The sequence below is a fragment of the Homo sapiens genome, chromosome 15 (genome assembly GCF_000001405.40).
Source record: "Homo sapiens chromosome 15, GRCh38.p14 Primary Assembly".
Classification (NCBI taxonomy): domain Eukaryota; kingdom Metazoa; phylum Chordata; class Mammalia; order Primates; family Hominidae; genus Homo; species Homo sapiens.
Genome location: NC_000015.10, coordinates 57,179,644 through 57,203,775, shown reverse-complemented (window position 1 = coordinate 57,203,775; position 24,132 = coordinate 57,179,644). Strand labels below are relative to the sequence as shown.

General features: G+C 37.0%; 1 protein-coding gene across 26 annotated transcripts in view, besides 3 other annotated features; it reads right to left on the bottom strand.

Annotated features, from left to right (window-relative positions):
* TCF12 (transcription factor 12) overlaps positions 1-24,132 on the bottom strand; it is a 373,221-nt gene that overhangs the window by 87,535 nt on the left and 261,554 nt on the right. For 24 of the 26 annotated variants that reach the window (NM_001322151.2, XM_011521960.4, XM_047432971.1 and 21 more), the window contains 2 exons: positions 11,483-11,618; positions 5,951-6,003 (listed from right to left, as the gene is read on the bottom strand). In NM_001322151.2, coding sequence (NP_001309080.1) covers positions 5,951-6,003; positions 11,483-11,618 — 189 coding nt within the window. Of the gene's footprint in view, positions 1-5,950; positions 6,004-11,482; positions 11,619-24,132 lie in introns of those variants that run through there. The other 2 variants (NM_001322154.2, XM_047432978.1) reach the window with 2 other exon arrangements.
* Positions 3,898-4,567: an enhancer, noted in NCBI's record as "NANOG-H3K27ac hESC enhancer chr15:57491407-57492076 (GRCh37/hg19 assembly coordinates)". NCBI's record gives its function as "activates a minimal SCP1, AML or CMV promoter by ChIP-STARR-seq in primed H9 embryonic stem cells {active_cell/tissue: H9 hESC(primed)}" and the evidence as "EXISTENCE:reporter gene assay evidence [ECO:0000049][PMID:30033119]".
* Positions 4,568-5,237: an enhancer, noted in NCBI's record as "OCT4-NANOG-H3K27ac hESC enhancer chr15:57490737-57491406 (GRCh37/hg19 assembly coordinates)". NCBI's record gives its function as "activates a minimal SCP1, AML or CMV promoter by ChIP-STARR-seq in naive and primed H9 embryonic stem cells {active_cell/tissue: H9 hESC(naive and primed)}" and the evidence as "EXISTENCE:reporter gene assay evidence [ECO:0000049][PMID:30033119]".
* Positions 5,238-5,907: an enhancer, noted in NCBI's record as "NANOG-H3K27ac hESC enhancer chr15:57490067-57490736 (GRCh37/hg19 assembly coordinates)". NCBI's record gives its function as "activates a minimal SCP1, AML or CMV promoter by ChIP-STARR-seq in naive H9 embryonic stem cells {active_cell/tissue: H9 hESC(naive)}" and the evidence as "EXISTENCE:reporter gene assay evidence [ECO:0000049][PMID:30033119]".

The window sequence follows — 24,132 nt, the reverse complement described above, 5'->3', positions numbered from 1 at the left end:
CCGTGCCCTGACAAAATATTTTTCTTGATGGGGTAAATTACACTTTGAGAGTTTAAGCAAGAAATTACAGTAACAGCTTTTGTGGGAATATATACATACACTCTTTAACATGACACTTGATTAAGAAACAATCATGTCATCAGGCTACGTACGGGACTGCAAACAAGTTACATTCAAAACTTGTAAGACACGTCATTTTGATGCAGAGTTAATATTTGATATGAAAAAGGTATTTTCAATTGCCATAGAACAAGAATACAACTTTAGGTATTTGGGTCTAGGAAGGGATTTCAAATCTCTCCAGGTATTTACTTACATTTTGGAAAGACTTGTTCTGATATATCTTGCTTCTTCTATTATCTACTGCAGCACATAAAAGAAAATGATCTATGTTTGGAAATATTAACACTAACTTAAGAAATAAAGAATAAAGAGCAAAGAAACTTTTCTGCATCTGAGAAATGCTTCAGAGGGCCATAAAGATGTTCAACGAGTGATTTAGAAAAGGAAAAAAAAAGTGTCGACTCCTGAGAGTTCAGAAAACAAAAATAATTAGAATGAATTCTAGGGGCAGCCGGATTTGATTCAACAAGTTTTCCTTCCTTTTGTAGATTGTTTTTCTGCAAGTGAATGCTTTCTAAACAACAAAAGGAACTGCTACAATTTACCATGCAGTCATTAGGTGCCAGGCACATACATTATATACACAGGTGGAGGTAACGTGAAAACTTTTTATTTCACTATAATACTTATCCTTTTTTATATATCTTCAAACTTTTTTTTGTTTGCTTTTCATCAAAATTTGGTAAAAATGAAATGCTAAACTTCTTTAAATTTCAGGCTGTAGTGGTATGAACTAGCTAGAATAATGAAGGAACATTTACTGAGTATCTAGGATACACCACACTTATAGTAGGTACATAATACTCTCACAATAACATCTGAGATAGGCATTATCATCCCCTTTTACAAATAGAAACTGGAGGTTCCGAGAACTCAACAGCAACTTCTCCAAGGTTACAAAATAAAAAGCTGAGGGCAGACCGGGTGTGGTGGCTCACACCTGTAATCCCAGCACTTCGGGAGGCTGAGGTAGGTGGATCAGGAGGTCGGGAGATCGAGACCATCCTGGCTATAGCGGTGAAACCCCATCTCTACTAAAAATACGAAAAATTAGCCGGGTGTGGTGGTGGGCACCTGTAGTCCCAGCTACTCAGGAGGCTGAGGCAGGAGAATGGCATGAATCTGGGAGGCGGAGCTTGCAGTGAGCTGAGATCATGCCACTGCACGCTAGCCTGGGAGACAGAGCAAGACTCTGTCTCAAAAAAAAAAAAAAAAGCTGAGGGCAGATAAATAAAATCCATCACATGCTTAATTGGGAAGTCTGTGGTTTTCTACTACTGTAGGTCCTTAAACAACAAAGCCAAATAAAAATAAATTTGATCAGTAAAAACATAATTGACAGAATAAATTTAAGTTTTAATTTAATATACTAAGCAAGATATTTTCTGAATAAACCAAGGTATTAAAGAATCAGATTTTAACACTCAAAAAGAAAATGGTGTTTGATATTAAGTTAGGTTGTAATCTTGGCCCTATGTGTGATTTTTGGCAAGTTAATTTATGTCTTTGAGTCTTAATTTTCTTATTTGTAAGTAGGGAATATTAGTTATAGAGTTGTTTGGCAAAAGGTTGAAGATTAGGATATGGGTAATGGTTAACAAAGTTCCTCACACATGAAGTCTTGCACCACTAACAACACAGTGACACTGAGGCTGTAAAGGATGCTAACAAATATATTACAAATGTTTCCTTTTTTTCCCCCGACAAATTACCAGGAAAAAACCCTGCCCCAAATCCCCACCCAGAGATTCAAAATTCCCTTGAACTTTGTATCTTAGTGAAGATCTCATATAGATGAAAAACAGCTGATGTACATGCAAAGAACAAAGACAAGAGTTGGCAGTTAGAGAATGGGAGGGGAGGTTTAAGAACCCTAAAACGGAAGTAAAACACCCTGCAAATCCAAAGTACCACCCATGCCTTTGGAAACTCCCAGATAAAACTTTAACAACTATAAATGCCTTCCATTATCTCTTGGCCAGAACAGTTGAGTTGTTTATCCAGGATAGACTGCTATGACAACTTATCTCTTCTCATATCTGTACTGATTTTATGTGTGCCCCCACTCAATCTACCTCTGGAGTAGAAGAGTGGGTTTGCTATAGGAAAATTACAAAGGTTGCAACTTGTATATAATCTAGTAATGCTGTACTTTTAGATGTGACCTCAACACGTGTTTATTTTTTCACACCTCCAGGCCTTTTACCTGTCTGGTCCATTCTCTCCTTCTCTAACAGATGAGCTGCTACGCATCTTTCCAGACACAACTTAAATGTCAACTCTTCCTGAAGTCACTATAGTAGGGTTAGTTCTACCTACCCTATGTCACCAGAGCACCTGGTACACACCCTTACTTGCTTCACTGCAATATAATTAATTCCCTGAATGCTTGTTTCTCATATAAGATAGTGAGGTCCTAGAAGACAATTATGGTGTTTGTATATGTTTGAATTCTCGGTGTCCAAGCATTATTCTACTGTTGCTGCTACAAAAGTCCACTTTTCCCAATCTTTAAATCTGTCTAGAAAAGCAAGTGGAGAATCTCATGTGCTTTAAAAACATCACTTCTTCATCAGGAGGAAGAAAACTATGCTCACTATTCTTTTTTGGTTATTTATTGAGCATATCAGTTTTAAAACCGTAAGTATGTAGCAATTTAGACCTGAAAGGAACTTCGAATTTCCCACTCCAAACATCCTAAGGGCTGACTAATCTAAGGCTATACAGCCAATCAGTAACTGAGCTGGGCAGATTTAGGTGAACCATTCACTTAATGTTACTGACTATACTGCTCTAATGATATTTAATACAGCTTAGTTAGACCTTCATCCACAAACAAAAGTTACTAGTCAGTGGTTCTGCAGAGAGGAACAGAGAAGCTGAGTTATGCACTTATGATACCTAAATATAAAACAGTTTACAAAAAAAGTCTCTAATCAATGCTACATGATCAAATTATACAGATTATCAATGCTTTGCATGCTAAGTAACCCTGCCTATTATTTTTTGTATCAGTATCAGCGATACTTAGTCCTTTCACTGTTTCTTTAGAAAAAGTCACATATATTTTACAGATTAAAGATAGAATGAACAAGTAGGAAACTGATGAAATCCTGAATGCTACTGCCAAATTTCCAATATGGTTTGGAAAGTATAATATTCAAATTATCATAAAATAAAATATACATAGTCAATTTTCATTTTTAATACTCCATTTTTCTTATAGTTTGCATGTCAAAAGTTTATAGTTTGCATATTTTTCAATAAAAGCTCTGAAATAGGAAATCACAACTTAAAATTCTATTTTAGATCCTGAGAAGGTAAACAGTATAACCTTAAGTGTTCTTAGGACATATTTTGTCATTATTTATTAAAGTATTTTCTTTTAAAATCTTTTCAGTTAATCCTAGAAGTGGGAAAAATATCTGTCTTTAAGGTTTTTCTGTTTTCTTTTTTAAATACTTGAGATTTCAGCCGGGTGTGGTGGCTCGCACCTACAATCCCAGCACTTTGAGAGGCTGTGGCAGGAGAAGCACAGAGCCCAGGAGTTCAAGACCATCCTGGCCTGGACAGAGACCTCCTCGTCTCTACAAAAAAAAAAAAAAAAGCCAGCCGTGGTGGCCTGTCCCTGTAGTCCCAGCTACTTGGGAGGATGAGGTGGAAGGGTCGCTTGAGCCAAGGAGGTTAAGGCTGTAGTTTGCAGTGACTGTGTCACTGCACTCCAGCCTGTGTGACAGAGTGAGATCCTGCCTCAAAAAAACCAAAATAAAACAAAAAGACCCTGAGGTTTCAACACAGCATTTTATCTAAAACATACTTTCAGTTAATTAAAATGAATGTGTTATTTATACATCCTTAATAACATTTAATATATACTAATATAGCTAGTAAAATACAATATATAAGTAGGCTTGGCCTGCAAAATTTCCTAATGGTTCTCAAAGAAATCAAGTTTCATCAGAATTCAGTGACTTGTTCCAGATACCTGAGACAATACAGAGAACTACTACCTCCAAGTAATGAATGTTATTACGATTACGAATGTAAGAAATGCTGGTGACCTCCAGTGTCTACTCTCCTTCCAGACTGTTCTGTCCATTTTGCCTACTGCTTTTAAAATCAAAGAACTATGGAACACTGAACATACACTGTTTCTTAATGTCAGGTTAAGAAATGAGATGAATTTTTCATTCACTAATCTGTTTTTTTAACCTGTATAGTTCTACTAAATATTAATGTGTAATTTAACTTTTATTACTCTCATTGAATTACAGTAATAAATTACAAGAAAATTGCACTGCTACATGTTTTAGCAGTACTGTCAGTTTTAATATGATTTCTGTTAATTTAACAGAAATCATCTGTTATGCTGTTGAACCACCTACCCCTGCATAGCACACAACTGTTAAAATGTAAATTGCCAACTATTTTTAGCTGCTGCTGAAAAAAAATTCCTGTCTTCGGGAATAACGATTTGAGGCATTGTGTTCATTTTGTTTATCAAGCAGTCTCTAGTGGGCCCAAGTGCTTATGCAAGCAAAAGCTTTTAAGAATGCCTGCAGCTGCAAGCCAACCTTCCAGGTAGGCTGCAGGTTCAGAGCACAGCTGCCCTAGGCTGCATAAAACTCAGATCCATCTGGAACTGAGTTACAGAGAGGATTTCAAATTCGACTTTTCATGTATCACACGGTAGAGAAGGCAGGGGAATAACACAGAAAAGAAGGAAGGCAGACAACCAAAAAGATTGTATCTCTACTTCAGCCTTAATAAAAACTAAAAAGCTCAGACCCATGCTGCTCCTTCTAGATTACTACTTGCCAAGCCGGATATTCCATTCAGTCTATACTTCGATGAGCTGACTCATCTGGCGGCACCTGCGCCCATGGGTTAAGTACTGCCAAATAAAAGCCCAACATCCATTTACACAACAAAAAGATGTACCCTACAAGGCACTGGGGCCTCAATCAAACAGCCTCACTCACCATTTCTTCTAAGCAAAGGGAGAAGAAAAAAAAACTTCCGTTTTTTGCACCAGAGATTTAAAAATTGTAGGTAGATTTACGATGCAGGTTCCTTTACAAGTACTTTTACTCCTTTAAAGAATAAAGTATATTTAATAGCACAGTCGCCCCTACAGTATTAGATTATCATGGCCATTAATGATTGTTCCACCAAACCTTTCCAACCTTCTTCATCAAAGCCCTTTATTCTCAAAGGATACATTTTTGAGCAAAGAGGGATCAACAAACTAGTTGCTTGAAAGCTTTCCTGATGCTAGGCTGAAGTTAGGAAAGGCTTAATGAAGGCTTTAAAACCCACAAGGGCTTCACAATGAACATCTGACTTGGTGATTTATGCATATTAATAACCTCAGTCCTACTGAGGCAAGCTGAGCCAAACATGTACTCCGAATCTTAATGTCTTTAGCTCCATTGGGATTATTACAAATGTAAATTTCTAAGATTTTCAGCTATTAATCTCTGTCTGTCCTCCTGTTCAGCAACATAATGACTAATTAAACATCAAAAGACCTGCATAGGAGATCATCTTTGACAGCTACTGGCCTAGTCCTCTTCCCAAGAGGGGAATTCAAATGACAGGGACAAGGAGTAAGAGCATATGAGTAAGCTACAAATCATTGCAGAGAAATCTAAAAACCAAACATTAAATGTGGATTTACCTCAATCAATGATTTTGTTAAGCACTGAACAATTACTATGTAAAGTATGCCCACTCGCATCAATCGAATGTACCCTTGTAGCAAGGTAATACGGAACACTTGAAATCAGTTTGTTTACCATCAAGTTAAAAAAAGATAGGTACTTACAGAAGAAGGCAAACCAGGAGGCACCTTTCTGACTTTTTTTGCTTGCAAGGGATCTGCAGATGGAAAACAATACATTTCTTCAGCATAATATACCAGAAAAAAATCAAGACTTCAAATTAACAGAATAACTTTTCCCCTAGCGTCTTTCTTGTTTTCCAATATTTGGGAGTAAGCAGCAAAATACAGTAATGAGGGCTTCATTCCTTTTAACTAGTCCCAGTGAAAAACAGGTTCTCCTAAAAAAGTGATACATTCTGAAAATACATATCCCATAAATTTGGGAAGATGACAGCAAATGAACCAATACAAGAAAGAAAACAACAAACTAGTATGAGGGAAGGGAATGAACATTTCTTAAGAAACTGTTCGGCCGGATGTGGTGGCTCAGGCCTGTAATCCCAGCACTTTGGGAAGCCAAGGTGGGCGGATCACCTGAGGTCAGGAGTTTGAGACCAGCCTGGCCAACATGGTGAAACCCATCTCTACTAAAAATACAAAAAAATTAACTGGCCGTGGTGGCGGGCGCCTGTAATCCCAGCGACTCGGGAGGTTGAGGCAGGAGAATCACTTGAACCCGGGAGATGGAGGTTGCAGTGAGCCAAGATGGCACTACTGTACTCCAGCCTGGGTAACAAGAGAGAACCTCTGTCTCAAAAAAAAAAAAAAAAAAAAAGAAGCTGTTCTGTGCCAGGTACTATACTAGGTACTTTACAGTTTCATTTGCAGAGGGGCACTTAGTGTAATAGGTCATGTTGATAATATGACTCCTTTAGCAGAGTCATATTTAGTGATTGCATCACACTGAGAATTAGGCTTAAAAGCATATTTTAAAAACTGAGAGCTAATGCTATGCTTGCTATCCTACAGTTTTTTAAAAATTTGAAATAAAGAAATAAAATGAAGGTTATAATGTCAATATATGATACATAAACTATTAAATATGGGCATTGACAAATGCAGTATCATTCAGTATTTGACACATTTACTTTTAACATTATGTGGCTATAACCACAACTACAGCATTAATTACTGTACAATTTGTCCTTGAATGTTTATATTTCCAGGAAATAACTTGACAGAGAAAGTATATTTCTTTCTCAGAATTTATCAATATAAATGAAAACATGAGTATTTCATATGTTAACCAGTCTCACTTGATGAGTTAATTTTACTTATATGTAAAATATAAAACTTGTTCATCTTATTTACTGTAAAACAAAGTGATAAACACAGGGTTCCAGGTTTACACAAAAAATGGATCAAATTCAGAATTTTCTGAGGGGCTCATTATTAGGAAGAGAGAACACATGAGGAAGCTGATGTAAAGTGTAATACTTTTGAAAGCTGTAAAAATGGGAATTAAACAATCACAGCACAATCATTCCTCAGTATCAGTGGGATTGGTTCCACGATCCCTGAGGATACAAAAATCCACAGATGCTCAAGTCCTTTAAATAAAATGGTGTAGTATTTGCATATAACCTATGCATATCCTCTTACATACTTTAAATTATCTCTACATTATTATGTATAATACCTAATACTATGAAAATGCTATGTAAATAGTTATACTGTATTGTTCAGGGAATAATAACAAGAAAAAAATAAGTCTATGCATGTTCAGTACAGATGCAATCACCCATTACATTTTTTTTTTTTTCTATCTGTGGTTGGCTGAATCCACAGATGAGAAACCCATGGATGTAGAGGTGGCCTCAAGTGATTCTCTGGCCTCGGCCTCCCAAAGTGCTGGGATTATATTTTCCTGGTCCATAAATGACACTATACAATAAAACATGCAGTTTAACCCATTTATTTTTCAGAGACAGGTTCTTGCTCTGTTGGCCAGGCTGGAGTGCAGTGGTATGAGCACAGCTCACTGCAGCCTTGAATTCCTGGGCTCAAGCAATTCCCCTGCCTTGGTCTCCTGAGTAGCTAGACTACAGGTGTGTGCCACCGCACCCAGCTAATTAAAAAAATTTCGTTTGTAGAGAGGTGTTTCACTATGTTGCCCAGGCTGGTTTTGAACTCCTGGTCTCAAGTGATCATCGGCCTTGGCCTCCAAAAATGCTGGGATTATAGGCATGAGCCACCATGCCCGGCCCCAGTTTAACCCATTTAACTTTGGACTGGGAATTCTCTACAGTGAATATCCCAGGAGGCTGCAAAGTTAAAAAGGCAACTTTATATGTAGCATATGAAGAAAACTGTACACAACAGCAAAGGGGGGAAGTATTCATTTCTGACCCCAAGAGGCAAGCCTATATTTCCTTAAAACAGAAGTGCCAAAGATGAACAACATCTGGCACACTCTGTATTTATAAAACCCCAACTACTCACAACTAATACAGCATTCCCTTGAACAAAAGCCATACTCCTTGTACGAAAACAGTCAACTGAACTGCCCCTACCAGTTTAGAGCCTATCATTCTACTTAGAGGTCATTATTAGTAAAAGATTAGTTTAGGCCAGTTTTTCCACTGCCATGTGAAAAGAAATTTTTCTTTTGTATTTGGTTACCCACCACTATACAATCAAATACAAAATGTCTGATTTAAAATCATGAGAGCCTGGGATTCACCGACCACTTCTGGGAAGTTGCAAAATATAATAGCTAAGAGATGGCTGGGTGCGGTGGCTCATGCCTGTAATCCTAGCACTTTGGGAGGCCAAGGCAGGAGGACCACTTGAGGTCAGGAGTTCGAGACCAGCCTGGCCAACATGGTGAAACCCCTTCTCTACTAAAAATACAAAAATTAGCCAGGCACAGTGGCTTGTGCCTGTAATCTCAGCTACTCGGGAGGCTGAGGCAGGAGACTCGCTTGAGCCCGGGAGGCAGAGGTTGCAGTGAGCCGAGATCATGCCATTGTACTCCAGCCTGGGGGACAAGAGTGAAACTCCGTCTCAAAAAAGAAAAATACATAAATATAAGTGAATAGAATAAAAAGAGAGTAAGCTGGCTGGATTCTAATTCCAGCTCCATCATATAGCAGCTAGTTACTTAACCCTCTTTGAGCTTCAGTTACCTCCATGTAAAAAGGGGGTAACACATCCTTTTGTGTATTTCATGTATTGTGATAATACGTGAAAGACGCTTAGGGGAGTGCCTAACACAAGTATGAGACTGAACAAATTTTAGCCATTATTATTAGGTTTCCATTAAAATGTGGGGAAAAATGATTATAAATTGGGTAATTAGATACTGTTATGCAGCATGCTGATTTCCTAAAGCACCTAAATAGTTTGTGAAGATGCTGAGGTTGATGCAGATCATCTCAAGAGTGCTTTTAAACGCTGAGATTTTATCAATAACTGTAATGCTAAGAAAGAGCGGCTAACAATGAGAAACAGCCATAAAGAATGTAGTAAGAACCCACTAAATGACATTTACACAGGAAATCGGTGGACCTCCCTGGGCACCAAGAGAACTACCATATCCCAACTCAAGCCTTGGCCAAATTATTTAGCTTCTCTGGGTCTTAGCTCCTCATTTGTAACATGAAGTTAACATTACAACCTCACAGAGGTTTTGTGAAAATGTAGTGTGTACAGCAATGCCCCTGGCATGGAAGAGACAATCAATAGTGTCTATCATCATAATCAAAATTAAAATGAAGAAGATACAAGTTTTAATTTATAGAAAACCTGAATTTTAAGTCTGGATTTTTCTGAAATTTACTCCCCTCTTCCCTAGTTATTTCAATAACTAATTTTCCCCCTGAACTTAATAGTGTATTAGCTTGTACTAAGTGCTTTTTGTCACAGTATATACTCACATAGCATACTAACAAGTTATTTTTCTAGAGTAACACTGACACGTCTAGACTCCAATCAATGTTCCTATTCTGACTAACTCATTAGGTAGGAAACAAGACTGGAGATGGAAAAATGCATTTACAATTTATCCTTTCTTTAATAACAAAAAGTATACTGGTCTAAATCACCTGGGCTGACTTAATAGTAAACATACTAAATCATCCATGATACTGAGAAGTGGACACATCTAATCAGAGTTCTCTATGCTGAATATGATGATCTATCATAGTGCCCTTTTATACCCACAAGCAAACCCTAGACCCAGAGACCAGGAATATTTCACCAAAACACAGGTTAATAGAAAGTAGATACATAAATATGAAGCAGTCATCAAATGCCTGTGCAATAAAAAAATGTGACATAATCTTTTGGTGGACTATATATTAGAAGCTGGCCCACTTTTAATTTAAAAATGCTTTGCAGCTTTAAGTATCTTGTTTAAAAGATATTTGGTAGAAATCACCAGAAATTCTGACATTTAAACACAGTTTGGATAAAGCATCAGAGAATACCTAAGGCTTGCTGTAAGCAGTAAAACAAAAGGCACTGGCCTGGTTAGGCTATGTGTAAGACATAAAAGAAGGGAGCTAATGAAAAAATAATGAGGTTTGAATGCTTCATATGAACAAAGTTTGCTTTTGCAGTAACGTTTCAGAACTAGATAGGGGTGACAGCGGCACAATGTAGTGAATGTAGTATATGCTACTCAACTGTACAACTTAATATGGTAAATTTAACCTCAATTAAAAACAAAGTGGAGTGCAGAAGCAAGTAATATGCAAAAGACAATGAACCTGGAGTTAGAAAATCTTAAAATTTTATCCTAAGTACTAATTATATGAATGTGCCTGCCCTCCCTTTTGACCCTCAGTTTTTATGTTAAATCTATTTATAGCAACTGACTAGCAGGATTGGTGAACTGATGAGATGAGAATGTATATAAAACCACCTTGCAAATTTTGTTATATCATTTTTAGTAAAGAATTAAGTTATTAACATTAGAACATGAAATTCTAATTACAAGAAGGAAAACTAGTTAAGTCTCATTTTTCACTACTTAGTTGCTCATGTGAGGACCAAGCAAGAGTATTACACTGGCTGTTTGAAACTTGTTAAAATTATGGCTTACAAATTGAACAGTCATCCAAAATTATTCATGGCCAAACCTTTCATTAAAAACTTACAATGTATTTATAAAAGTAAGAATTTTGATAATTTCATTTATTAAATATTTAATGGATGTATTATTCTTGTGCAAATAAGCCCTGACATCAATGTGATACCCACGAATCCAACTCTCTTCTAATTAAAAGCACAGACAGGGCTGGGCACGGTGGTTCACACCTGTAATCCCAGCACTCTGGGAGGCTGAGGTGGGCAGATCACTTGAGATCAGGAGTTCGAGAGCAGCCTGGACAACATGGCAAAACCCTGTCTCTACAAAAAATAAAAAACTAGCCAGGCACAGTGGCACATGCCTATAGTCTCAGCTACTTGCGAGGCTGAGGTGGGAGGACGGCTTGAGCACAGGAGGTTGAGACTGCGGTAAGCCAAGATTGTGCTGTTGCATTCCTGCATGGGTAACAGAGTGAGACGCTGTCTTAAACAAAGAAACGGAAAGAAAAAAAAAAAAAAGCATAGCCAGAAGTACAGATTATGGGAGGAAAAAACAACAACAACATATGTGGGATGGGATTTGTTGTGTGATACACTCACCAAGCGCTGCAGAGTCATGGAGTGGTCTCCTCCTGGAACTTGTAGCAGAGAATGAATAGTATGCTGTCCCAGGTTTTCCTGAAGAAGATAGCTGTGCTGGGCTCCCAAGCCCCAGATCTTGTCTCAGGAGACTAGACTATAAAATAAGGCCAAGGAAACAAGTTATTTTCCTGCTGATACTGACCCAAACCTGAAAATTTCATCACTTCTGAATTATTTACAACTTCAGCAATGTCTTAACTTAGAACGCACCCATTAAGTACGTTTTGAATTCAATTAGACCACTGCTTTCAGCCCATACCTACTTTCTCTTTTTTTCTCCACCCTCACATTGTCGGCCTTTTTTTCTTTTTTTTTTCTGAGATGGAGTCTCACTTATTTGCCCAGGCTGGAGTGTAGTGGTAAGATCTCAGCTCACTGCGACCTCTGCCTCCCGTGTTCAAGCGATTCTCATGCCTCAGCCTCCTGAGTAGCTGGGATTACAGGCGCGCACCACCATGCCTAATTTTTGTATGTTTAGTAGAGACGGGGTTTCACCATGTGGGCCAGACTGGACTCAAACTCCTGACCTCAGGTGATCCACCCACCTCAGCCTCTCAAAGTGCTGGAATTACAGGTGTAAGCCACTGCGCCCAGCCACATTGTCTGCTTTTTAATAATTATGTAGATCCATAAAATCTTAGAGTTGAAAGACACTTTAGTGGCTGTGTGGTATCACACTTTTTAATCATCAATATTTTTGAAAAATGGTCACTAGTCTTTGCTTTAATACTTTCATGAACACATACGGCAGCAGAAATTCTGTTCTTCTTCCTTTCCTTTTTTCTTTTTAGAGATGGATTATGCTCTGTCACTCAGGCTGGAATGCAGGGGCACGATCACAGCTTACTATAGCCTGGAACCTGGGCTCAAATAATTCTCCTTTCTTAGCCTGCTGAAACAGCTAGGACTACAGGCATGTGCCACCACACCCAGCTAATTTTTAAGTTTTTTGTAGAGATAGGGTCTCCCTATATTGCCCAGGCTGGTCTTGAACTCCTGGGCTCAGGCAATCTTCCCACCTTGGCCTAACAAAGAGCTGGGAATACTGGTGTGAGCCACTGCAGCTGGCCCATTCCTGCTTTTTTCACTTGAGTCTCATGACATGGGTTTGAGAGTCCTCCTCACCATCTCTTTTTTAACACTATATTTAAGCAATCTATTTATGTTAGCTCGCATTAAGGGGTTAAGAATGATCACATGCTTACGTGGTTCTTCATTTTGTTGCATCTGCTGCTATTAAGTCATGTCCCTCCAATGTTGTACTTGTTCAGTTTGTGCTTTTTGGTCCCAAATACAAGACTTAACATTTATCTCTGATAAAATTCATCTTGTTATACTTCGTCCACCATTATCATCCATTCCCATCTTTTTCAGATTCTTAATCTGTCAACCAATGTATATGCTAGCCTTTTTAATATCTTAGGCATCAAAAATATGATTAAGAGAAAACCCATCAGGATGACAAGGGTGAGGAGAGAGCTCTGAGGTATGCTACAGTGACATTATGAGACTTTGTGAAGTGCTTCATTTATAATTCAGAGATTCAGCAGCTCTAACCTACTAATGCAGTAACCCTCTCACAAAACAAACGAGGTTAGTTTGGCAGAATTTTGCACCAAGATTTCTGGTAGATGAGATGAAATAGGATCACAGAGACTTGAAAGACAGGAGAGGGAAAGAAGACCTCAAAAGGAAGGGGGGTTGAATACACTTGAGAAGATACTCTCAAGTGAAAAGAACTGTGATTCCTCTGGTACATTTACGAATCCCCCATCATATATTTAATACCCCTTACTGCCATCACCATACTCTTAAAAAGTAGTTGTTTCAGCCACCAAGTATCACAAAGGAACTGAGAAATAAAACCTCAGCTCTGGTCAAAAAGCAGGAGCAGAGCTTTGGAACAGTAGCCCTAATAGCCCAATCTCTGCCTCCAGTCTAACAGTCAAGAAAAACTCTCATTTAAATGACTTTTCTTTGGTGTTTGAGCTTTTTAAAAAGTTGAGGTGGAATTTATATAACATAAACACTGAATGTTTTCATTTCATTTCAAATCAGTGGCATTTAGTACATTCAAAATGTTGTTCAACCATCACCTCTCTAGGTTTCAGAACAGTCTCATCACCCCAAAACGAAATTCCAGATCCATTAAGCACTTACTCTCCATTCCACCCTCCCCTAGCCCATGGCAACCACTAATCCATTTCTGTCTCTCTGGATTTGCCTATTCAGGATATTCCACACAATTGGACTCATACAATATGTGGCCTTTTGTGTCTGACTTCTCACATTTAGAATGTTTTTGAAGTTCATCTATATTACAGCTTGTATCAAAGTACCTCATTCCTTTTTAGGATAATATTCCATTTAGTATGGCTATACCACAAACTGTTTATCCATTCACCCACTGATGGACATTTTAGTTGTTTCCAGCTTTTAACTACTGTGAATAGTACTGCTATGTATATTCATGTACAAGTATTTGAGTAATTGTTTTCAATTCTTTTGGGTATATAACTAGCAGTGGAATTGCTGGGTCATATGTGTAATTCTATGTTTAACTTTTTGAGGAACTGCCAAACTGTTTTCCACAGGGGCTGCACTATTTTACATTCCAACTAGCAATGTGCAAGGGTTCCAATTTCTCCATATCCTTGCCTAGTTTCTGTTTGCTTTTTAAATTACAGCCATCCTTGAGGGGCAAAGTGGTATCTCATTTGCAGTGGTTTTGATTCGCATAACCCTAATGACTAATGATATTGGGCATCTTTTCATGGGCTTGATGTACACTAGAATATCTCCTTGGGAAGAATGTCTAGTCAAGTCCTTTGCCCATTTTCTAACTGGGTTATCTTCTTGTTGTTGAATTGTAAGAGTTGTTTATATATTCTGGATACTAGGCTTATCAGATATATGAATTGCAAAATTTTCCCTCATTCTGTAGACTGTCTTTTCACTGTCTTGATAATGTCCTTTGATGTACAGAAGTTTTCAATTTTAATGAAGTATTTTTATATTGTTGCTGATTCTTTTGATGTTGTATCTAAGAATCTACTGCCAAATTCAAGGTCATAAAGATATACTCCTAGACTTTCTCCTGAGAATTTTATAGTTTTTTGCTCTTATATTCAGGTCCTTGATCCATTTTGAGTTCATTACTGTAGGCTAGGCGTGGCAGCTCACGCCTGTGATCCTATTACTTTGGGAAGCTGAGGCAGGAAGATCTCTTGAACCCAGGAGTTCAAGACAAGCCTGGGCCACATAGGGCGGTCCCATCTCTACAAAAAATTAAAACCATTAGCCAGGTGTGATGGTGTGCGCCTGTAGTTCCAGCTACTCAGGAGGCTGAGGTGGGAAGATCGCTGGCGCCTGGGAGGTTAAGGCTGCATGAACTATGATAATGCCACTGCATTCCAGCCCAGGTGACAGAGTGAGACCCTGTCTCAAAATAATGATAATTATTATAATTTCTGTATATGTTGTGATGAAGAAGTACAACTTCATTCTTTTGCATGTGGATATCCAGTTATCCCAGTCCCATATATTGAAGATAATACTATTTCCCTATTCAGTAGTTTTGGTATCTTGTTGAAAATCAATTGGCCATAGATGTTTAGGTTTACTTCTGGACTCCAAATTCTATCCCATTGGTCTATATGTTTTAATAACTGTAGCTTTGTAGTAAGTTTTGAAATTGGAAAGGGTAACTACTCCAACACTGTTCTTTTTCAGTATTGTTGTGGCTACTTGGGATCTTGAAATTCCATATAAATTTAGGAACAACTTTTTCATTTCTGCAAAAAAAAGCCATTGGAAGTTTGATGGGTATTGCATTGAATCCACAGATTGCTTTGGGGAATACTGACATCTTAATATTAAGTGTTCAAATGGACTGAATACCAGATGTGTTTACATTTATTTAAGTCTTGTTTAATTTCTTCTGGCAGTGTTTTGTAGTTTCCAGGGTACAAGTCTTATATTTCATGTTCAAATTAATTCTTAGTGATTTTCAAGGGAAATGAAAAAAAAATTAAAGAAATTAAATTAATTCTTAGGTATTTGATTCCTTTAAATACTATTGTAAATGGAGTTGTTTTCTTAATTTTATTTTTGGTTTATTACTAATAAACCATACATCCTGCAACTTTACTAAATTTATTTATTAGCTCTAATAGTTTTATTGTGAATTCCTTAAAATTTCGTATATATAAGATCATATCGTCTGCAAATGAGGATAGTTTTACTTCTTTTACAATTTGGATACCTTTTATTTCTTTTTCTTGGCTAGCTAATCTGTTTATTTTTTATTTTTTTGAGATGGAGTCTCACTCTATCATCCAGGCTCCCAGGCTGGAGTGCACTGGCACAATCATGGCTCACTGCAACCTCCACCTCCCAGGTTCAAGCGATTCTCCTGCCTCAGCCTCCTGAGTACCTGGGATTAAAGGCGTGCACCACCATGTCCGGCTAATTTTTGTATTTTTCATAGAGATGGGGTTTCACCATGTTGGCCAGGCTGGTCTTGAACTCCTGTCCTCATGATCCACCCACCTCAGCCTCCCAAAGTGCTAGGATTACAGGCATGAGCCACCATGCCCAGCCACTAATCTGTTTAGAACAAGCTTGTCCAACCCACAGCCTGTGGGTTACGTGGCCCAGGACGGCTTTGAATGTGGCTCAACACAAATTTGTAAACTTTCTTAAAACATTATGAGATTTTTTTGCAATTATTATTATTTTTTTGCTCATCAGCTATCATAGTGTTAGTGTATTTGATGTACTGTCCAAGACAATAATTCTTCTAATGTGGCTCAGGGAAGCCAAAAGAATGGATACCCCTGGTTTAGAATTTCCAGTACAATGCTGAATGTAATCAGTAAAAGTAGAAAACACTGTTTTGTTCCCAATCTTAGCGAGATGGTTTTCACACTGTTACCAACAAGTATATTAGCTGTGGGTTTTTTGTAAATGACCTTTACCAAATGGAGTTAAGTTCCCTCCCTCCTATTTCTAGCTTGTTAAATGTTATCATCATGAAAGAGTGTTGGATTTTGTCAGAATCTTTTTTTTTTTTTTGGAGACAGTCTTACTCTCACTCAGGCTGGAGTGCAGTGGTATCATCTCGGGTCACTGCAACGTCCACCTCCAGGTTCAAGCAATTCTTGTGCCTTGGCCTCCTAAGGAGTGGGATTACAGATGTGTGCCACCACGCCTGGCTAATTTTTGTATTTTTAGTAGAGACAGAGTTTCATCATGTTGGCCATGCTGGTCTTGAACTCCTGGCCTCAAGTGATCTGCCCGCTTTGGCCTCCTAAAGTGTTGGAATTACTGGTGTGAGCCACCATGTTCAGCTGAGATTCTTTTTTGGCATCAATTGAGACAATCATATGGGTTTTTTTCCCCTTTCTTTCTATTAGTGTGGTGAGAATTACACAGCCTAATTTTCATAGGCTAAACTATCCTTGCATTCCTGGAATAAAACTCCCTTAGCTGTGATGTATAATCTTTTCAATACGTTGCTGGATTCACTCTGCTAGTATTTTTGTAGAGGACTTTTACATCTATATTCAAAAAGGATATTCATGTGTAATTTCCTTTATCCTGTAATATTTGTCTTACTTTGGTATCAGAATTATGCTGGCTTCACAGAATTAATTAGGCAGTGTTTGGGAAGAACTGGCATTATTTCTTCTTTAAATGACTGGTAGAATTCACTAGTGAAGCTGTTTGGTCCTGGACTTTTCTTTTTTTCTTCGAGACGGTCTCACTCTGTTGCCCAGGCTGAAGTGCAGTGGCTCAATGATGGCTCACTGCAGCCTTGACCTCCCAGGCTCATGTGATCCTCTGGCCTCAGCCTCCTAAGTAGCTAGGACTGCAGGTGGATGCCATCACACTCGGTTAATTTTAAAATGTTTTGTAGACATCAGATCTTACCACATTGCCCAGGGTGGTCTTGAACGCCAGGGCTCAAGTGATCCTCTCACGTCAGCCTGCCAAAGTGCTAGGATTACAGGCATGAGCCACTGGGTCCTGCCTTGGACTTTTCTTTTATGGGAGGATTCTTATTACTAATTCTATTTCTTTACTGGTTTTAGCTCTGTTCAGATTTTCTATTTCTTCTTAAGCCAGTTTTGGTAGTGTGTTTATATCTAGGAATTTGTCTACTTCATCCAGATTATTCAATTTTTTTAGCAGACAATTATTCACAATAATCTCTTATAATCCTTTTTATTTCTATAAAGTCAGTAGTAATGTCCTCTATTTCCATTTGTGATTTTAGTAATTTGACACTGTTCTTTTTTTTCTCAGTCAATCTAGCTAAAGGTTTGTCAATTCTGTTGATCTTTTTGTTTACTTTTGTTTGCTTTTTGACACAGGAGTTTGCTCTGTTGCTCTGGCTGGAGTGCAGTGGCACAAACATGGCTCACTGCAGCCTCAACCTTTCAGGTTCAAGTGATCTTCCTACCTCAGTCTCCTGAGTGGCTGGGACTAGATGTGCACCACCACACCTGGCTAATTTTTAAATTGTTTTGTAGAGATGGGGTCTCACTATGTTGCCCCAGTTGGTCTTGAATTGGCCTCAAGTGATCCTCCTGCCTTGGTCTCTCAAAGTGCTGGAATTAAGGTGTGAGTCACCTTGTTGATATTTTTAAAGAACCAATTTTGATTTTGTTGATTCCATATTGTCCTTCTTGTCTCTATTTTGTTTATTTCTGTTCTAATCTTTTGTTATTTCCTTTCTTCTTCTGCTTTCTTCAATTTAGTTTGTTCTTCTTTTACTTGTTTCTTAAGGTATGAAGTTAGGTTACTGATTTGGTGCTTGCTTCTTCTTAAATGTAGGTATTTACAATAATAAATTTCCCTCTGATTAAGGCTTCTGCTACATCTCCTAAGTTCTGCTATGATGTCTTTTCATTTCCATTTAATGCTTCAGTTTCTTTAAAGCTTATTCAACAATGTTGGAGCATGAAGCAAACAATGTACTAAACCAGCCAAAGGTCATTCATCACATCTTTCAGAAATACTCATAATTAAGAATGTAATTTTCCAGACTCCTCAAAATGTACACTTTTCTTTAGATAAAGCTGATACATTCCCTTATAAAGGAGGAAAGTAGAGAGAAGACAATTTCAATTACCAGGCAATATAATGTGAATATGAAGGCTACATAATATTAATTTAATTATTTAGCATTAATTGTACAAATTCCAATAGATACAACATTTGGTACATTGGGAGAGAAAGATGTAATTATCAGACCTAAAGGAGAAGTAGTCTCCATTAAAATAATAACCTCCAGAAGAAATGATAAAAGGGAGAAAATGATCAATATAAATATAACAATAGGCATATATGTATTTTATTTATATGACAGACCATCAGCTATGAATTTTCTGATGGTGTTATGTGAGAGTAGTATGACCTAGGAATCATTAAATCTCCCATAGATGTTATACTGAAATTTCCATTGTCACATCTGTTTTGAATTTCCTTCTTTTATTTTGCTCAGGCTGGGCACATTCAATATTGCTTAAATGGCAAGATCAGAATATGGCTCGTAGTACACTAGATGGAACATATTATTACCACATGCTTAAGGGCAGGGGTCAAGTACCTTAAAGTTTCCTTTAAATATCATTGGTATTTCAACAGGATTTTTCCTGCTCAGTGCCAAACTGACTTTCATTGATATGTTTTGAGGTACCTGCTGCATTTATTACTTCATCTGCATTTTCTCATGGGGAAGGCACATATGAAGCTGGTCATAACATACACACAAACAAATATATCAGAAGGAGGGATGTGTGTATGTCTCTCAACAGTGTCCCTTACACTAACATTCCCTGGCATACAAATTCTTATGGGAATATAAGAGAGTGATTTATATTAGGGGTCAAAAAACCAGAGCTTAGAGGAGAAAGTGGGTCTGTTTTTGAAAATACTTTTCTTGAAAAACAGTCTCAAATGAAACACAATTCATTTATGTATTGGCTATGGCTGTTTTCATGCAACAGTGTTAAGCGTTCAGTGTTGCAACAGAAAACGTATGGTCTGTTAAAACCTAAAATATTTGTTATCTGGCCCTTTATAGAACTTTTTTTTTTTTGGCTGCTAATCTAATACGTCAGAGGGACAAAGGACTAAGTCTGCAGGGTGGTGAAGAGAAGTCTGTTTGCTTAATAAGGTAAACATAAACTTTCAGATGAGTAAAAGTTAGCCAGTGAATTATTTCTTCAAAGAAATCAAATAGTAGTCATAATAAGGGCTGAGAGAGGAAAGAAATAATCTAAATGATGAACAGGAAGTGTATTTCCTATATTTCTAAAAGTACACTGAAAATCTACACAAATACTCATGTTCTGGAAACAGCACTGGTTTTGGAGTTAGGTATCCCGAGTCCAAATCCTGACTGGTAATCTTGAACAAATTATCTAACATTAATGAGTCTGTTTCCCTCTTCTACAAACAGCTCACAAGGTTGTTGGGGGAAGTAAACAAGGCCTAAAAATAAAAGTGTACAGCACAGTTATTGGCCCTAGTTAATACAAAAAACTCAGTTTCATTTTTTTCTTTCCCCATTAACTCACTACATTCTAAATATTACAAAATAAATGAGACGAATGATATTTTTATTCTGTTTCCTGGGCATAAACCTTTTGTCTTAAGTAAGTGATCTAAGATTTCAGGAGACCTTGTCTGCCCTGAATCCAAGCTGACTGGGTTACAATTCCCAATGGCTATGGTAAGAAAGGATGTTGGAAATACGCAAGAGAATAGGGGCAGAAATGACAGATCCCTAGAGAGGATTGACAGATGCTAAATCCAAAGAGGGTGTGACAGATTCAAGCAGTATCAATTAAGATCAAGAATAAATAGGAAAATGTCAACTTATTCTCAAATGATTTAGCAAAAGTGTGTGCATTTGTGTATATAAAGTCATAAGCAGCACACAAACATATATTCATACACGCAGAATGAGTAGAAAGAAAAGGAATGTGTATATACAAATGTGGTGAAATGTTAACTGATGACTCTTGATGAAGTTCACATGGGTGTTCATTGTATTATTCTTCAACCTCTTCTGTGGGTTGGTAACTTTTCAAAATAAAAAGTTGGAGCAAAGAAGAATAAAATATTGAGGACTCCCTAATACACTTTCAAATGTACTATCTCATTTAGGATTTATAGCAATCTTAAGTATTATATAGATTTCACATATTAAAGTGATAACAAGTAGTGAAATCCTAATTTGAATCTAGGTCTGCTCAGAAAGCCCTTTCCTCAATACAACAAGACTTCCATAGTAACTCGGGAACATGCATCATTTCTAAGATTGTTAACTTGAAAACATGTAAGTGATTTATAAATGAATTTGTGGATTACAATCCTAAGGCTGAGATGACTATAGAACACATATTGGCAGATTTTTTATCTATGCAATAGTAAAGAAAGAAAAAAAGGAGAACAAATTTTTTTGGAAAAAACAAGTTTACTAGCTACCAGTTTTAGTGTTGATAAACCTTTTTCCTCACTATAGACAAATCTGGATATGTGGTTAGGAAATGCCCTGTCTTCTTGTTCCACAGTGAATATTAATGCCAAAAAAGATGCACAGGTTACACTTCTTTCAGCTGTCCTAATCACAGAAATAACCATTTTCCTGTGTTTAGTCTGTATCATGATCCATAAGATGAGGCAAAGTAAATATAGAAAAAATTGTTTCTTTTTAAGAATACAAGACCATATTTTATCCTGTTAATTAAAATGAATTCTTCAGTACTCTTAAGAAATACAAAAAGTTTAAGACAAAATTTTGTCCACAAGGACTTGACAGTCTACAAAATAATATTTAACAAAACAATGAAAAAAATACAATTAAAAAATCAAGTGCTAAACTATAAAAGCCTAAGATTTTGATATTCTAACACTAATAAAATAATATATTTTTCTTTATTTGATTCTTCAAACATTTAGGCAACACTGAAACACACATCAACTATTTTATTTTTCTTCTCCTAAAATAAAATTAGGTATCAGCTCATATTATTGATTTTTCTGTCTTCCTAAAACAAATGAGAAGCATTATTGATTACTACTGATCTTGTCCTGGAGGTATCTCCGGCAAAAAGAATACAGAACGATCCCAGAGGATATAGAACTAGGCAAAGCAGTTTTATTGTGCCGAGCTATCTTATTCAAGAAAGAATTAGTATTCTGAAATTACATAGTATGAATTTCTTAACATATTCTTGGAAAATAATCTTTTTTATAGTCATCTAGACTATCTTTTATAGAAATACATATATCTAAAATATAGATACAGTCATCCAGACATTTTTCTCTGTGAAAAATATATCTAATACTAGAGAATAATTAATAAAGGGTTATCCCCCAAAACACTAACGCAGCCTAGATGACTGCCCTAGGTTATGGGATAAAATCTACAATAAGTAAGTTATATTTTGAATTACATATGACAAACCTCTAGCCTGTGAACAAAATTTCCAATTTTTAAAAATAAGGAACTTTAACAGCCTATGTGATACATGTATTTTAAGTTTTTTCTCCCTCTTCATCTGTAAGAAACAGCTTAATTTCCAGATGTGAACTTGATGAGTGTAAGCTTTGGTGGTGATAATAAACAAAAAGTAAATGAAAGGAATAAAGTAGTAGGTAGACTTGGCCAACATCCTTTTTTTAATGGGAACTCTTGTTAATTATATTAGAAGGTACTCTAAATATGATTTTGTAGGGAGGCAGAAGAATATCCTATGTAAAATGGTGCTGCTCAGTAAGCTAGGAGGCGATTCAGAATCATACTGCTATAATTTGGATATTCTTTATTCTCAAAAGGGAAAATAAACTAGGCACAGTGATGTGCACCTGTAGTTACAGCTACTTGGTAGGGTGAGGCAGGAGGACTGCTTAAGCCTCGGAGTTTGAGGTCAGTCGGGGGAACACAGTGAGACCAAAAAATAAAAAATAAAAAAAACAGAAAGGGAAAATTAAGTGTTGAAAAACAGGCTTACTTTGTCGGAACTGGGTTTTATTAAGTGGCTTGGCTTAAACGCCAAGCCACTCATAACTTCACATCAAATAAGGGCCTAATTAACCGTAGGTCAAAAATTATTAGCATCGGCCAGGCGTGGTGGCTCACGCCTGTAATCCCAGCACTTTGGGAGACCGAGGCGGGCGGATCACGAGGTCAGGAGATTGAGACTATCCTGGCTAACACAGTGAAACCCTGTCTCCACTAAAAATACAAAAAATTAGGCGGGCGTGGTGGCGGGTGCCTGTAGTCCCAGCCACTCAGGAGGCTGAGGCAGGAGAATGGCGGGAACCTGGGAGGCGGAGCTTGCAGTGAGCCGAGATCACACCACTGCACTCCAGCCTGGGCGACAGAGCGAGACTCCATCTCAAAAAAAAAAAAAAAAAAAAAAAAAATTATTAGCATCATTTTATGATTAAAATTTGGAAGTACTACCTATTAATTTATTTAAGAAAATTAGATGGAGAGTACCTCATATGTTATAGTCACATATCTCCAAAAATTTAAAATACTGATATGAATTCATGGAACCTCTGCTGTGTTATTATTCTACAGAATTCCTTAATTTCAAGCCTATCTTACACCCCTGAAGTGGTATGCAGTTTTAAATACATAAAGGCAAGCAGCTGTTCAAAAGATTTATTTTTTGGGGGAGGGAGTATGTGGAAATTAAAGGAATAGAAAGGTATAAAACACAATTATAACAGAATACATAAACTGTTATGATTTCGCAGATTCTTTATGCTATAGTACCACGTGTTTCTTTTGTCACTGAGGGATCAAGAAACAAAATTGTTCTAAAAGGAGAATTATTATAGTATTACCATATTTGCAGTTGTTGTTCTAATTTCGAAAAATCATTGTGTTTTAGCTGTAAATCCATTTGAAGTTTCAGAGATTATGACAGAGTAACCCAAGAATGATAAAGAAGTCTCTCACCCCAAGTCATAATCAAATCAAAATCGAAGGGTGAGGGCAACTCAGGGCAAAAAATAAATGTTGGGCTTTAATAATATGTCAGTCTTCTGTTAATTTTCTACAAATGATTAAAAAAACTAACACATTTCAAATTTGGAAAATATCGCCATTTGTAAAATAATTGTATTATGATGCAAATTCATTTACATTGAAATTTCAGGGATATGTTAGCAATTATCAGCATGTTGTTAAAGAATTCTATCCTGAGAATCTCATTAGATAGTGATGCAAACTACAGTTATCATTCTGAGAACAAAGGGATCTTGAATGAGTAATCAATAGCAACTGGCAGAAAATGAGACATTAATTATGATCCTCTCTAGTGTTTTGTCTAAGACAAGATTTCATTAAATGCTTTGTGCAACCTGAATAGTTCCAAGTCATTATGAACACTTTGGACAATATATTAATTTGGGGGAGGAAGAAGGGGGGAAACAGAAAAACAAAGTGAAAGAAAACCTGAGATGCTTCTAATCCTTTCCTAGGTCAATAAAAAACCACCAGCCACCACTAGCCAACTTTTACACTGGTTCTTTTACAAATCCCAAATTTTATAATCTCAACATATCCTCTTGAAAAC